Consider the following 14,693-nt stretch of genomic DNA (forward strand, 5'->3'; position numbering starts at 1 on the left):
CCAGTTGCTCACAGCCAAAGGAGAAAGACAGACTTATAAATATATTATTGTAACACAAAATGTTCAATGCTCCAGGAAATATTTGAGCTGAACACAGATGAGATAATGGCTAACTCTGCCCTGGGGAAAAAGTAAATCTTTTTAGGGTAGGATTCCTTTTAGCTGGGTCTTAACGAATGAGAGGCCAAGGAAACGATAGAGTGTAGACGGACTCTTTAACAAATAAATCTGAAAAAACTTTTTTCTTTATAACCTAAAAGTCAAGATTATTTAAATAGACTTTTTTGGGGCTTTTTATTGCCATTCAGAATCATGCAGAGTATTCTTTAATAATCAAAATTTTGCCCTATATTTTTCTTTTTGAATAAAAAGCAACAGATAGATCATTCCACTTGGCTACATGTTCATACGTTGATTACTCCTCCCAAATTTGGAAATTGATTTGAAGTGATAGTCAAGCTTGACATTTGTGTCCCACTGCTTATTTTGTTTTCACAAGATTGTTTTCTATATTATGAAATGTAAATACCATTTCTCAACCAGATATCATTTATCTTGTCCTAAATAAATAACTGCTCAAAGTAATAAAATCAAGATTCTTCAAAACAAACCATGAAAACATCATTCATACCAGACCAAAGGAGAAAAAGAAACTTAAAGATACGTGTAGTGGAATTAATTGTATTAAACCATGAAAATGTTGATCTTGTCTACATACATCTGTATATTCTGGAGCTGGAACTTTTTCTTAGAGATAAACAAAATGTTACAATGTTTAAAAATGTCTTCATAAATAAAATAATCCTCTTTGGGGAAGATAATAACCACATCTTGTGCTAATAGTAATTCTGTGTAATGTAAGATATTAGCATATTTACTTAATATTTTGTTCAAAGAGTTTGAGTTTAAAAAAAGAAAAGATTATGGTGATAGTTACATGACTCTGTTTGTTAAAATTCATAGAATATACACTTAAAAGCTTGATTTTATTGTATGTCAACCTAAAATATAAAATTTTCAAAAATTTAGAAGAAATGAAAAGATATGAGAGAGAGGAGAGGAAGAGAAGAGAATTTTGGTTTTATCATTTGGAAAACATTAAACTTTGAGCCCTTCCCCTGACACTCCTCTGGACTCCTTTCCAAAAGGCAAACACTTGGTACATTTTAAGCAGAAAAATTAAAATCGATCACCCACACAGCCAGGCCAAGAATGAAGAGCAAAAAACTTGGAATTTGACAAGAAGGAAAGGGATCCAAGACAGGAAATTGACTTGGTCAGACGTGTGGAAAATCAAGGCAACCCACAATGCCATTAATGAAGGTCCCCATAATAAGGCCTTGCCTCTGCACCCCACCCGCAGCCCCCACTCTCTCCAGCTGAGAGGATTTATTTCAGAGGAGCAGTGCCAGCGCCTTCCAAGGGAAACACGGTTGGAGCATGTTTTACCATGCAATGCTACAAAGGAGGCACAGGTGGCATGCTGGAAGCTCTTCCTCAGGATGGAGGGAGGGAGCCAACCGCAGCCAGTGTCCTTGATCCTGGTCTAAGGAAACTAAACCCCACTGAACAGAAATCTCAGCTCCAAAGCCAAAAAAGGGAAAACACAGTTAAGAGGTCTTTATTCTTCAAAACAGCAGAAGCTGTGTGTCTTTTCCTGTCTCCTGTTACTAAAACATGTTAGAGGCAAAGTTTACTAAGAAGATGGTCATTAGAAATGACCTAAAGATAATGGGACTAAAGAATATTAAAAAGGATATGAAAGTGGATTGCCATCATTGGCCAGAAGCCAGTGTTAGATCAAAATTGCACAAGGATTAGCCAAAGAGGATATAGACCAAAGCATAACCATAAACTGCCCAAAGCCAAGTATGTCTGTTAGCTCAACAGTCTGTGCACAGTTAGAATTGATTCTTGCAGAAAGTTTTATAGTTTTACATGAAAAGGAGAAAAAATATGTATAGCCAGTCTTCTAAGAAGAAAAAAAAATGTTACATATTTGAATCCTATCTCCACCACTGATGAGCCCTGTGACATTTGGTTATTTATTTGTGCCTTAATTTCTCCATCTATAAAATGGAGAATATCACTACCTATTTCATATAGTTGTTTTAAGTGATTAAATACAGTTAAGACATCTGGAACAGTGAGTGGCAGATACTAAGTGGTATGTAAATGTTAATTAATATAGTTGTCATATAATAAGCATTTCACATTAGAGTTGGTTTTGGTATGCCGATACCAAGTATATTCTGAAATAGCCCTGAAACCTGACCAAGGTCTGTAAACCATGCAGAGGCTTGTTATAAACTTCCTCAAGTTTTCCTACAGAACCATTTGCTAAGACTACCATTGATTCTTTCTGGATTTCTAGCCATATCTCCTTGAACCCAATTCCAGTAGTCCTAATTCCCAAGGCCTATTTTATCAGAATAACAGTGAAGTTCAATAAACCCTGAGTTTGCAGTCAGGTGACTTAATGTTGTTATTTCTCTACTGAGGCACCTGTCAAAATCAGTGCCCCTTCCTGGACCCTTGATTCCTCCCATCACAGAAAGGGATCAGACTGGATGACATCTATGCTTCCTTTTAGTTGTGATATTTTGTTGTTCTTTCATAACATTTTAAGTAATTTTTTTTATTTTTTACTTTTTTCATACATTGTGTCCAGGCGCTATGCTTTTGTTTGTTTGTTTGTTTTTGAGACAGAGTCTCGCTGTGTTGCCCAGGCTGGAGTGCAGTGGTGTGATCTCGGCTCACTGCAGCCTCCGTCTCCTGGGCTCAAGTGATTCTCCTGATTTAGCCTCCTGAGTAGCTGGGATTACAGATGTGCACCATCACACCAGGCTAATTTTTGTATTTTTAGTAGAGACGGGGGTTTTGCCATGTTGGCCAGGCTGGCCTTGAACTCCTGACCTCAGGTGATCTGCCTGCCTTGACCTTCCAAAATGCTGGGATTACAGGCATGAGCCACCATGCCCAGCTAGGTGATTTATTACATTTTTCATTTGAATGTCTGTTGCAGAGATACAGTGCAAGAGGACTTTATTTATGAGCTAATATGCTTTTCCAGCTGCCTTTTGGACATCTATATCTGGATACTCCCTGCAGGCTCCTTCATCTCTCTATGTGAAGTCAAATTATCACCTTTCTATCATCCCATGAGCCCAACCTGTTTCCCTCCTGAGATTCCCAAGAATAACCCCACTGTACTTTTGGTCCCTAGCTTAAAGTGTCAGCTGCCTTAGATGATCCCAGCACATTGCCTTTCCACATTTCTCTCCTGTCTCCTCTCTGCCATCTTTGAGCAGCCACTTAGGTTCAGGCTCTTCCCAGTTCTCTTTTGACCTTGCTTCTTACATCTTAATGTGCAGCAGAATCACCTGTGGATCCTATTCAAATGTAGATTCTGATTCTGTAGGTCTGGGACAGCCAGAGGTTCCACATTTCTAATATGCTCCCAGATAATGTAAAACTGCTGGTCCCCTATCACACGTTGAACAGCAAGGCACATTTACTTCTAATGAGAGCCCCAGAATCCAGAAGGTTTCCGTTTTAATCTAATTTTCGGGTTTGTATTCTAAACTATGCTTCTTTTCTTTCCTGCTAAAATATGGCTTGCATAATTCGTAGTAAATAAAATCTCTTCACAATATAACTCCAACCTGTGTTTTGCCTTAACTTCCAGAATCCCTAGCCTACATTTATCTAACTAGCTACTTTGAGGATGTATTTTTCGCTTTCTGCCTTCATGCCTTGTTGGGCTCAATTCTTTGCTTGAAGTGCCATCTTCCCCCTTTTATTTGTGTTACTCAAAATTTTATAACTCCTGAAGACCTGACACAAATACCACTTAGTCCACAAACCATGTCTATTTCCCTGAAATTCATCCTTTCCTTTAAATACTCATGGTGCTTTGCTGACTTTCTGATGATTCACATTCTGCTTTAAATTTTATATTTATACATCTGACCCCTCTCCCATCAGACCAAGGGCTGCTTAAGGGGTTGCTTCAAAGCAGGAAGAACTGTTTAGAACAATTGAACAGAAGCACTCCTTCACTAATCATTCAAATTCATATAGGCTGAAAATATGAAACAAATAAAAAACAGTTTAGACAGCTTCACACAGCATGAAACTATTAGCCATTATTGAGGGTAACTCCAACTTTTGGGGCATACCTCCTACTTTTTTATTCATTTAGCCTATATTTACTAAGTTCCACCTGTGTAAGACCCCATGATGAGGGCAGTGGCAGGACCCAAATAATAAGGCTGGCATCCTGGAGGTCCCTGCCATCTGGTTAGGGAGATAGTGAGGGGGCCACTGAGGGTGTCCACTGCAGTCTCCTGGGCTCCTGCTTGAGGCAGGGTCCTGGACCAGAGGAGCCATGAGCCTTGTCTGCAACATAATTGTTATGTTCTGAAAGCTTATGGCTCTGGAGATAACACACTTATTAGGCAAACACCGTGAGGATTTATCTAGAAATGTGCTTTCACTGTAATTCCCTGCATTTGATAGCCTCCCTTTCCAGCATTTATAGCCACCACCTGTGCTTTCATTATTCACTCTAATGTCTCTGTTTGAGGCTGATGTGCTTAATTTTCCAGTGTCTCAAAGGAAAACAGGAAGTTTCTCTCATGAACTTAAGCTTCCCATTTACTCATGAGTTACTCTCTTAAGAAATAAGCATCTTGGACACATTCATTGCCTGTGTAAGGAGGAAGATCCTTAGCCACTAGGATCAGGAAGTGTTGACATGGCATCCTTAATGCTTGTTGATGAGGTTAGATAAAGATTAGTTTATCTGCCTCTCCTAAGAAATTTCTCCTGAGAAATTACATTGTTAGAAAGCCTAAATATGTGATTCCCAAACATTCCTCTTTATAATCTGAGAATTAGGGAATCTTACAACTTGAAGGTTGTTGAGAGATTGCCGGGTTCATTCTCTCATGTTTTGCTCGGTGAGGAAACAGAGATCCATGATCATTTGCTTAGTGGAAGAGCAAGGCCTCAAACATAAGTCTTTAGAGTCTAAGCCTAAGAGGCTAAGTGGGAGAAAGAAAACTACATATCTCTATCTATATAATTTGTATCTCTCTACTTCTTTCCATATCTATCTGTCTCTCCTCTGCAATGTGTCAGGTACTGTGTTTTTGGTACTTTAGATGTCTTACCATGTTAAATTTTCACATTACCCAAATTCCCAGAGGCAGGTGTTGTCCCAGTTTTATAGATGAGAAATCTGAGTCTCTGAAAGGTGAAGTAACTTTCCCGAGAGTAGGTAGCAAGTGTATAGATTATACAACATGCCCATGCGCCCTTCCTCAAGGAAAGACTTCACCTGGTGGCCAACAGCAAGGGGTCTTGCTATTTGGTGGTATAAGAGGGAGAAAAGGAAACAGTCCTTATCCTTAGGTGAATGGATGAGGATATCTTTATTCTACCTTATGGGTTACTGACTTTTTTTCTATTCCCACCTCTGAGTCTTATTTCTCAGTCATTGTGTACTCCACACCAAGAAGCTTCCCAGCCCTCATGCCTCTTGGCTCACAACCTCTCTCTAGTATGGTATTCATTCCTGGGGCTCCCATTGTCCTCCTGCTTCAAACACTTGTTATTCTATACTTTGAGACCTAATCTATCTCCCCAGCTTCGGTCACTCATCAACAATTGCATGCTGTGCCCATCCCAATGGTGCACAAACTCAAGGGTCAAAACATGAGACTCATCTCTCTCTCCCCTCTCTCCCTCTTTCCCTCCCTTTCTCTCTCCCTCCATCATTTTGGAAGTCTCATTTTCTTCCTGATGCCTTTAATATCTTTCTTTCTTCAATTCCCTATACCTACTTTCAATATTCTTCTGAAGACAACTCAAATCCTATATTCCCCATGAAGTATTCTCTCACCTCATTTACTTATTAAAGAAGCATTTAATAAGCACCTGTTGTATGATAGAGAGCAAGGCAGATAGAGTCTGTGCCTTCATGGGACTTATAGTCTGGCGGAAGCTATAAATAACAGCAGTTGTAATGACTGCTCTGAAGAGAAAGCAATGGACAGTGACAATATACTTTTAAATCTTCCACACTGCCTTCCATTCAGAAGGATTTTAATAACGATCGAGTTGGATTTTTTTTTCCCTCAAATCTGAGGGAAGATCTGGTGGTGGCATCTGTTAGCATGCATTTGTGTCTGGTTCCTGTGAGCACTATTGTCAATATTCTGCGGTCTTTGCTGTCTGGGACACTTCAGAGGTGACTGATAATCAAGTGATCAATTCCAGGTGAGAAAAGTTCATGGAGCTGTGCTGCATGGATATTAAGTATAGTCTGAATCAAGCATCAAGCAGCTGCTTCTTTGGGGGCCAACTGGGTGGTACTGGCAGGAATTTCAATTCCCTGGAGCTTGAAAGCAATACACATGGCACTCTTTAATGTGAATCCAGCTAAAAGCTGGCTGGGGAACAAATGACAGCCAGATAGCTTGCCCTGCCATAGTCGTGAATCTTCCCTTTGAGGATTGCATTATTAGAGTTCTTTCCTCCCAAAACACTGTATTATAAACCTAATGCTTGGCTCAGTGGTTTAGGGATATATAAGAAAGCATAATAGAAAACATTCTAGATCAGCTCCTATTTCTGTTCTCAATATTAAGATAATTTTGGTATCTGTATCTGCCTAAGCTTCATATTAAGAGACGGAAAGAGATTGTTTTTTGTATTTCTTGATAGCAGCAATAGACGAGAGTTACTCATGTGCTCTGCTGTATGCTGCTCACACACATCAAATTACCCTCCTAACACATATACTTGCATGTCTTGCACATGTACAGGCACACGCTGCAGGCATAGTCCTCTAAGGCAATCAAAGCACATCAAGGGTCCTGCCTACATGTGCTTTTAAGTTCCATTAAGGACTCTTGGAGAGTGACTATTTCATAATGGCTCACACTTGATAAAACCAGTTCAAGAGCAATTTATATGCCCAAGACTAACATATGAAAAAACAACAACGCAGAACAAAAAATTGTGTGAGCAGCAAACCAAAATTATTTTTTAAAGTTTCTAATAGCAGGAAAAATTAAACAATTTTATAAAAAGGGTAAATTTAACAATTTATGAAATAATTTAATTTTAAAGTATTAATTAGGAAAACACAGAAACATTTTTTGTTAAGATTTGGCATGTTTCATATCGGAAATTTTTTGCTCCATTAACTTAACATTTACTTTTTTATATGAACTGGGAAATATACTTGTTGTTCAGATATTATCTACTTCTCTCTATCACTTAAAGTGCTAAAATTAGCATTCTAAATATATCCTGATGCTCCAAGAAACTATATTAAAAAACATAGTTGTATAGTTCCAAAAATCTCTACTTTGCTCTTTTGATTTGATTCGATTTGATTAAAATCAAAAATTTAAATTTGATTTCTCTTGACCTCACCTCCCTAAATCACAGTGATAGTTCAAGTTACATGTTATAGATGGCAAAATGATTTGCCTATCTATAGTTGTTTAAATAACATGATATAAAATGACTTCTAGCCACTTCTTTTTTCTCTCTATTGCGGTCACCAAAAGCTAATTTAGGACTCACTAAAAGAAAAGGAATATTGCTTTTAAACATGGTTTTTTCTTTGCCGATTTTATTTAAGACTGGTAAGCCATCTTGTTCTGTCTCAGAAAAACAGGAGCCTCACCTATAAGGCTGGAAATAGTCCTCTAGACAGATTTGAAGCCTGCAGTTTTCAGGGGTTTCCTGTCTACAACCCAATGTAGAGAAGCAGAATGAAAAAAGTCTTTCCACTGACCTACACAAACTCATGGAACAGGGGCTGCAGAGAAAAACCTCTATCAGATTAATCAAATGAAGATCTATGGCCTTAATTTTGAAGCCTATGATCATCCAGTTATGAAACATTAAATTTAACTGTTATTCAGTTTCCAGAATTAGAGAACAAGTAAAGATTAAGGGACTCTAGAAATGACATTCAATTTGCCAACTTCACAAATCTGGCTTAATATCAGGATTTAAGAGAAAGGTAATGGTGAGGAAGCATGAGACAGGTGAGCTGAAATCTCAGTGAAGTTCCTCTTGGGTACTCCGAAAGAGTCTGTCATCAGTGACCCAAGAATTCAAGCTATGTTAAAAAAGTCTCATATGGGATTTGGACTGAAGCTCCAGAGAAGGAGGGAAAGTCACCTATATCTTCTCATTTACTCTGGCCTGGGTGCAGGGATGGTAGTGGGAAGAGTCTTCCAGTACTGTGATGCCCTTCACTAGCTTCTCAGAGAGGCCCAAATAAACTGTCCACTAGGGTAGGAAGGGAGTGGTAAAGTCCAGGTGCTGAAAGTCCTCAGTCAAGAGAATATCACTGTTAATGACTAACAGGCATTGCCCAACTCTAGGTACCAGTCCTCAATAATGGATATGATGCTCACTCTCATGTTATCTTTTCAGCAGCACTGTGAGGAGGGGGCTTGCTTCAGTTGTCAGTTGAGGAAGCCTTTGAGCAGTTTAACACCTTGCCTGTGGTCGCAGAGTGACAGGGTGACGTTGGAAAGCTCCCCTTGGCCTGTTTCTCAAGCCTGTATTAACAGCCTCCATGCTATATCACTGGGCTCTGTCATTTGCCTTTCCTTATGCCCTAGCATGGTTCAGAACTCATACTATTGATCTGCCAGTCCATAGCACAAAACAACCTGCTGGTTCAAGTCTTCATTTTCATAATTTTTTTCCTCTTCCACCTCCATTTCCTCCCAAATACCTTATTAGAAATTCAGACTTTTGTAAGCCAGGGAAAATGAGAAAAGAGATTGAGTTGGAGGAAAGGAAATGACAGGGAAGATCTGAAAAAGAATCCATCTTGGTGTTGAGAGGAAAGAGAAAAACACAAGCTCATCATGACAGCAAAGCTTTGGCTAACATGTAAAAGCACTGTGAAAAAGAGGCAGATGTTTTTGAATACCTTAGTCATAAATCATATTGGGACATCATTCTTTTTTGTTTGTTTAGGCTAAATGCAAATAAGCATGTGATTAGTTTCATTGTAACACAGTTGGCTTCAACGCTGTTTATCAGAGGATAGAAAAATAATTTTATTTGCTTAATTATTAGCTTATGATTTGCTATTGAGTTTCTTTTTCAATAGATTTATGAATTGCGTTCAGAAGGCACCCCACTTCCTGTAACATTGCCCTCTTGGATCCCACTAGAGATTTTTGTGCTTTAGGTTCTCCAGCCTCTCCTTGGAGACCAATGCTTTTCACAACATCCTACCTTCATTTTATCCTTTCTGTGCAGACACACATGCAGCCGTGCACATTCATCTGCCTGGAAGAATGTGGAGATTCCAAGGTTATTCTAACAATGGATCAAGTTCAGGCTCCACGTTAATTTGTAAGTACAATGAAAACATCTTTCTCTTTTGATAAACTTTTCCCACCCTTGTTAACATACTGTGCTCTTTAATTGCAAAGGGACAGAAGATGAAGAAGTATCATGTTTTTGAGCCAGTGGTAGAAGGGTGTTTTACTTGCATTCACAATTTCCCCACTTGCTTAAATTATTGTGATTCATACAGTAAATACAAAAGAAAAAAAAAAGCCAAGGAGTTAAATTTAAAGAAAATAAAGCTAGTGACTTCAAATAGTAAAACTGAATTGCTTGCTTTTAAATTTGTCACATAACAGCCCCCATTCCCCCAGTGCAGAAACCATGACAAAAGATGTCGCCAGATTCTACACATTTTGGCTGCCTTTCATTCCAAGCAATTGCGAAGTTGTAAATGGGGGAAAGGGCAGTTCAGTTTGACCTGATACATTTAATAGGGTCCATGATGGTAACATCATTCTGTTGTCTAAGCTTTGAATAAATGATACTCTATGTCCATGAAGGAATGCACTTTTTTTTTTTTGACAGAGTCTCGCTCTGTCACCCAGGCTGGAGTGTAGTGGCATGATCTCAGCTCACTGCAACCTCCACCTCCCGGGTTCAAGCAATTCTCCTGCTTCAGCCTCCCAAGAAGTTGGGACTACAGGCTCGTGCCAACACGCCTGGCTAATTTTTTGTATTTTTAGTAGAGACGGGGTTCACCATGTTAGTTAGGATGGTCTCGATCTCCTGACCTCATGATCTTCCCACCTCGGTCTCCCAAAGTGTTGGAATTACAGGCGTGAGCCACCGTGCCCAGCCTCACATTTGTTTTAATGGGGGTTGTCTTTGTTTTCTTGATGATGATTGATTCACTAATAACCGGAAGTAACTCAGCTAGGTCCTGAGAGAAATGTCTTTAATGCCCATTTTAGCCCTAATATGGGAAGTAACTTCGAAGAAGTAATGTTTTATCTGCGCTCTCTGTCTCTCTCTCTCTATATATATATTTGTTTTTTTACTTACTTTATTTATTAGACCTAGATAATGAGAATTAGATTATGACACAAAGTTGTTAATATCAATGGAATGTGGATCTGCTATATTGATTTTTTCATTAATGATTTGTTGAATTGTATTCTTATAATCATATATCTATATTTTATTATAAAATAATCATTTACACACATCTAAGGTTAACATTTGCAAGAAACTGGAAAAAACGTTAAGATGTCATTTCATACACTATGGTCTGCAATAATGATTTTAGTTCAAATTTGTCCCCATATCTTTTGCCAACAAAAACTGATTTATAAAGCATGTTCCCCAATCCAGAACCAGATAATAAGGGAGATAATTACTATGCCTGGTTATAGTTTAAGAACAATTTCCTGAGGCACCACTTGTAAAAGTGAAAGAACATACATTGGAATGAGTGCTAGTCAGCTGTATACTAAAAGAAAAGTGAGAAATTGTTACACAGAGCCTGTTTTCCAATAGCAGTTTAAATAAGAACTACATTGTCCCTGACAATCCCATAGAACCTTTCATAGTGTGATTTTACTATACAGACACACTAACTCTTTTTAAGCTCTTTAGGGACATAGAAAAAACAAATTAATCATTGCACAATGGTATATCATTTATTTACCAACATAAGTGCTTCATCATTGAAAAGTAGGAGTTATTAAGACGTAAAGCAGAATTTGACTTTCTTGTGGAAACTACATTATATTTTATTTCAAATAAAAAAGAATCATTAGCTATATTAATACCATGTCTTATTGTTTTATTATCTTATTGTGTTCTTATTTTAAAAGAACACTGAAAACTGCAAGATCATTGTTTAATGTTTTCATTGAAAGAAACCCATTAAATTCTAGGGCTGGGCGCAGTGGCTCACGCCTGTAATCCCAGCACTTTGGGAGGCCAAGTCGGGCGGATCACCTGAGGTCAGGAGTTCAAGACCAGCCTTGCTAATATGGTAAAACCTCATCTCTACTAAATACAAAAATTAGCTCAGCATGGTGGTGGGTGCCTGTAGTCCCAGATACATGAGAGGCTGAGGCAGGAGAATTGCTTGAACCCGGGAGGCGGAGGTTGCAGTGAGAGGAGATGGTGCCACTGCAATCCAGTCTGGGAGACAGAGCAAGACTCTATCTCAAAAAAGAAAAAAAAAAGAAAGAAAGAAAATAAACCCATTAAATTTTAAAGAATAATTAATTTTGAAGATTTAATATATAATTCAACCTAAGAAAAGACATCAATATATTTGTTTTAAAATTTAGCTTAAGATAAATCAGTGATAGGTATGTTTAATCTTGCTTTAGGAAACTGTTAATTGGTGTTCATATTCTTTAGGGCCTCTAAATTTACACCCGCCTTGAAAATAATAACGTTTTTCTCCTATAAATTTTGACAAAATGAAATGAAGGACTGAGCAAACCTTTGGCAAATAAAAACAAAGAAAAACTGACTAATTTAGGCTGTTTGATTTTTTTTTTAAAGTATCTCATCCATTTAGCTTTGACTTATTTCCTTTGTATAAATTATCGGTTTCACTTATTTGATTTGTCAATGCACAGCTGGAGAAAAGTGGAAAATTTTAAAAATATAAATCTAGTTTAAAATAAAAAACCCACCTAGATATTTGGTATAGAGAAGATACTGTCATAGTATAGTGGGTTTTGAAAACAAAAGCTTTTCTCTTTTTCTAGATTAAAGAAACCAAAAGACAGGCAGTTATTTCTTATTTAAATCTTTATTAAAAGAAAAAAGATTTAAAACAAGTAACAACAAATTTCATTAAATATTAAACATTTTAATTATCAAAGATATTTAGACAATACGTTTCTAACATTTCTGCACAGCAGAAGCACACTGATTATAGAGCTCAGACTGTCATGTGCTCATGTGAGTTTATTTTTGGCATAAAAGTATCTAAAGTCACATTTAAACAAATGTGATAATATTTTATAAACTGATAGTAACTTACTGATGATTGATTCTCAAAGCTTTCACAAATTATCATTATATGATTGACATTCTCTTAGGGTGAATACTTTTCTGGACTCTTTCTGTAACAAACACTGAGTAACCAACTGAATTAATTTCCTTAAAAGTTAGTAGTACTGGTAAAATTATTTAAAACTGAATTGGAAATTATGTTCCTGTTTATAGTAGTACAATACAATTAACATACTGTAAGTAAACTGATTTTTTCATACCAAAAGTTAGAAAATGAAGTGGCATATATAGAACAGGCTTTGATGAAAATAAATGATCATTTAAAAGGGAGCTATTCAGTACATGACATCTGTGAGCACCCTTTCGAGGAGTAAAGTTTCCCTTTGCAATTCCTAGAAGTTTCTCTTTCTGATCTTTGTAAAACACTGAGAAATGCAGTATTATACCTATTGTATTTTCAAAGATCTACTATAGAAAACATTTCATTTTAAAACTTCTCTTTTAGTAAAAAAAAAAACAAAGAAATCCAACAAGTGTTCTTTCGGGGTTTGTTTCTTCTTGCGTGTAGTACACATTCATGAATGTCCACTAGGCGCAAGGGAAATTGTTTAGCTGCACAATGTATTCCATAATAGTGAGGATATCAAACAGAGCAAAATGACAAATGTTTTCCAATCAGTGAGCTAAGAGTGAAACAAATGCAATAAGACTTGTTTTAATCACGAAACATTGCAGGTTTTAATTTTTTAAAAAACAATGTTTGTAAACTTGCCCATAAAAGCTGGGTAATATTAAATAGCCAGTAAGGCACTTTGTCAGAGGGCTAAGTAGTAAAGGCTGGATGATTGGCAATTTGTTTAAGAGGAAACATTCTATACTTAAAGAGAGCAAACTCTCAACTGGGGCAGTCCTTTCACTGATTTACTGTCCAACGAGAGTGGGAAAAACTTTAAAATTTTTAATTTCACTTTGCTGACCAATTTTCCCTGCAGAAGAAGTCTTCTTTTAGTTGTAATTTTAAAAATATATTAGGAGCTATCAATTTAAGTAATGTATCATTTTTCAATCTAAGATTTAAAAGAATATTAACATATTCAGTAGTATTTTCAAAACATCCAAGCCACTCTTTAAAAACGAATTACAAAACAAATGATCTTAGTATAAAAATGTTTTATGTTATTAACAATTCCCTTGCGACTTCTGATGGCTTCACATAGTACAGTATAAGCTTTGGTATAAAACATGCAAATGCAAGCCAACAAGGTCGTGAATACAGTGTTGCTAAACACAAAGCACTTATGAAACAAATGTTGCACAGACACAGCAGATGGAGAAAAGGTAACACACAGCTGTAGGACGACCAGTTTGCTCTTCTACTGCTTCCTAGTTTGTGGATTTTCCTCCTGGAAAATCTTCAGCAAAGGTTGACTCACATAATAAGGTCTTGCAGTAGAACCATCATTTCTTTCTAAATCTTCCACTAGGAGGAAGAATGGTACAGAGTAAATATCAAAGCAGAACTGTAAGAGAAGTAACACCGCCATCTGCTGTATACTCGCTTTACAGCAGTTCAAAATCCTTTTGTTGTTTTTTTTTTGTTGTTGTTTTTTAAACAGCATAGTTTGGCATCAACATTATTGTAAACATAGTTATGCGAAAACAATAAGCCCTTGTGATTATGTCAGCAAGATATTATTTCATTCTGTGTAACAGGTCAGATTCTGCCAATATTGCGTGTCTCTCAGTTGCATGATTGAGAAAATAACTTTCACCTTCTTTTTTTCAATTTACTTTCTAAATTACTATATTTGCTTAAAATTGATTCTGTTTTGCCATCAATAATTTAAATAGTATAGCCTTGAAAAATAAAAATTGTGAAATTTCAGATTTCAAACACATCAACTGCAAATTTTGAGGAACATTGCCCTGGTTTTTCACAGTTTTTAGTTTAATTGCTTTGTAAGAAAATGGCTTCTAAATATCTTCTCAAAAACAATGCTCATTTTTATTCTACATATTTCAATTACACAAATAAGTAGTAAATGGAGAATATTTTTCTGACTAGATGTTAGCTCATAATATAAATTGGCAACTTGTTTATGTGTTGATTTTTATTTTATTCAAGTGATTTTTTCAACTTTTTTTTTTTAAACAGGGTTTTGCTCTGTCACCCAGGCTGGAGTGCAGTGGTGTGATCATGGCTCACTGCAGCCTCGATCTCTTGGGCTCAAGTGACCCTCACATTTCAGCCTCCCAAGTAGCTGAGACTACAGGTGTGCACCACCACACTTGGCTAACTTTTATATTTTTTATAAAGATAGATGGGGTTTCACCATGTTGCCTAGACT

General features: G+C 36.9%; 2 protein-coding genes across 7 annotated transcripts in view; one reads left to right on the forward strand and one right to left on the reverse strand.

Annotated features, from left to right (window-relative positions):
* Positions 1-9,446, forward strand: part of LHX8 (LIM homeobox 8) — a 71,021-nt gene extending 61,575 nt beyond the window's left edge. For both annotated transcript variants that reach the window (XM_017001316.2, XM_017001317.2), the window contains one exon: positions 9,310-9,446. In XM_017001316.2, coding sequence (XP_016856805.1) covers positions 9,310-9,437 — 128 coding nt within the window. In that variant the 3' untranslated portion in view covers positions 9,438-9,446. The remainder of the gene's footprint in view (positions 1-9,309) is intronic.
* A 2,674-nt stretch (positions 9,447-12,120) lies between these two features.
* SLC44A5 (solute carrier family 44 member 5) overlaps positions 12,121-14,693 on the reverse strand; it is a 521,887-nt gene continuing 519,314 nt past the window's right edge. For all 5 annotated transcript variants that reach the window (XM_047449166.1, XM_017000608.2, NM_001130058.2 and 2 more), the window contains one exon: positions 12,121-13,825. In XM_047449166.1, the coding sequence (XP_047305122.1) occupies positions 13,719-13,825 (107 nt within the window). In that variant the 3' untranslated portion in view covers positions 12,121-13,718. The remainder of the gene's footprint in view (positions 13,826-14,693) is intronic.

The sequence above is a fragment of the Homo sapiens genome, chromosome 1, assembly GCF_000001405.40.
Source record: "Homo sapiens chromosome 1, GRCh38.p14 Primary Assembly".
NCBI lineage: Eukaryota > Metazoa > Chordata > Mammalia > Primates > Hominidae > Homo > Homo sapiens.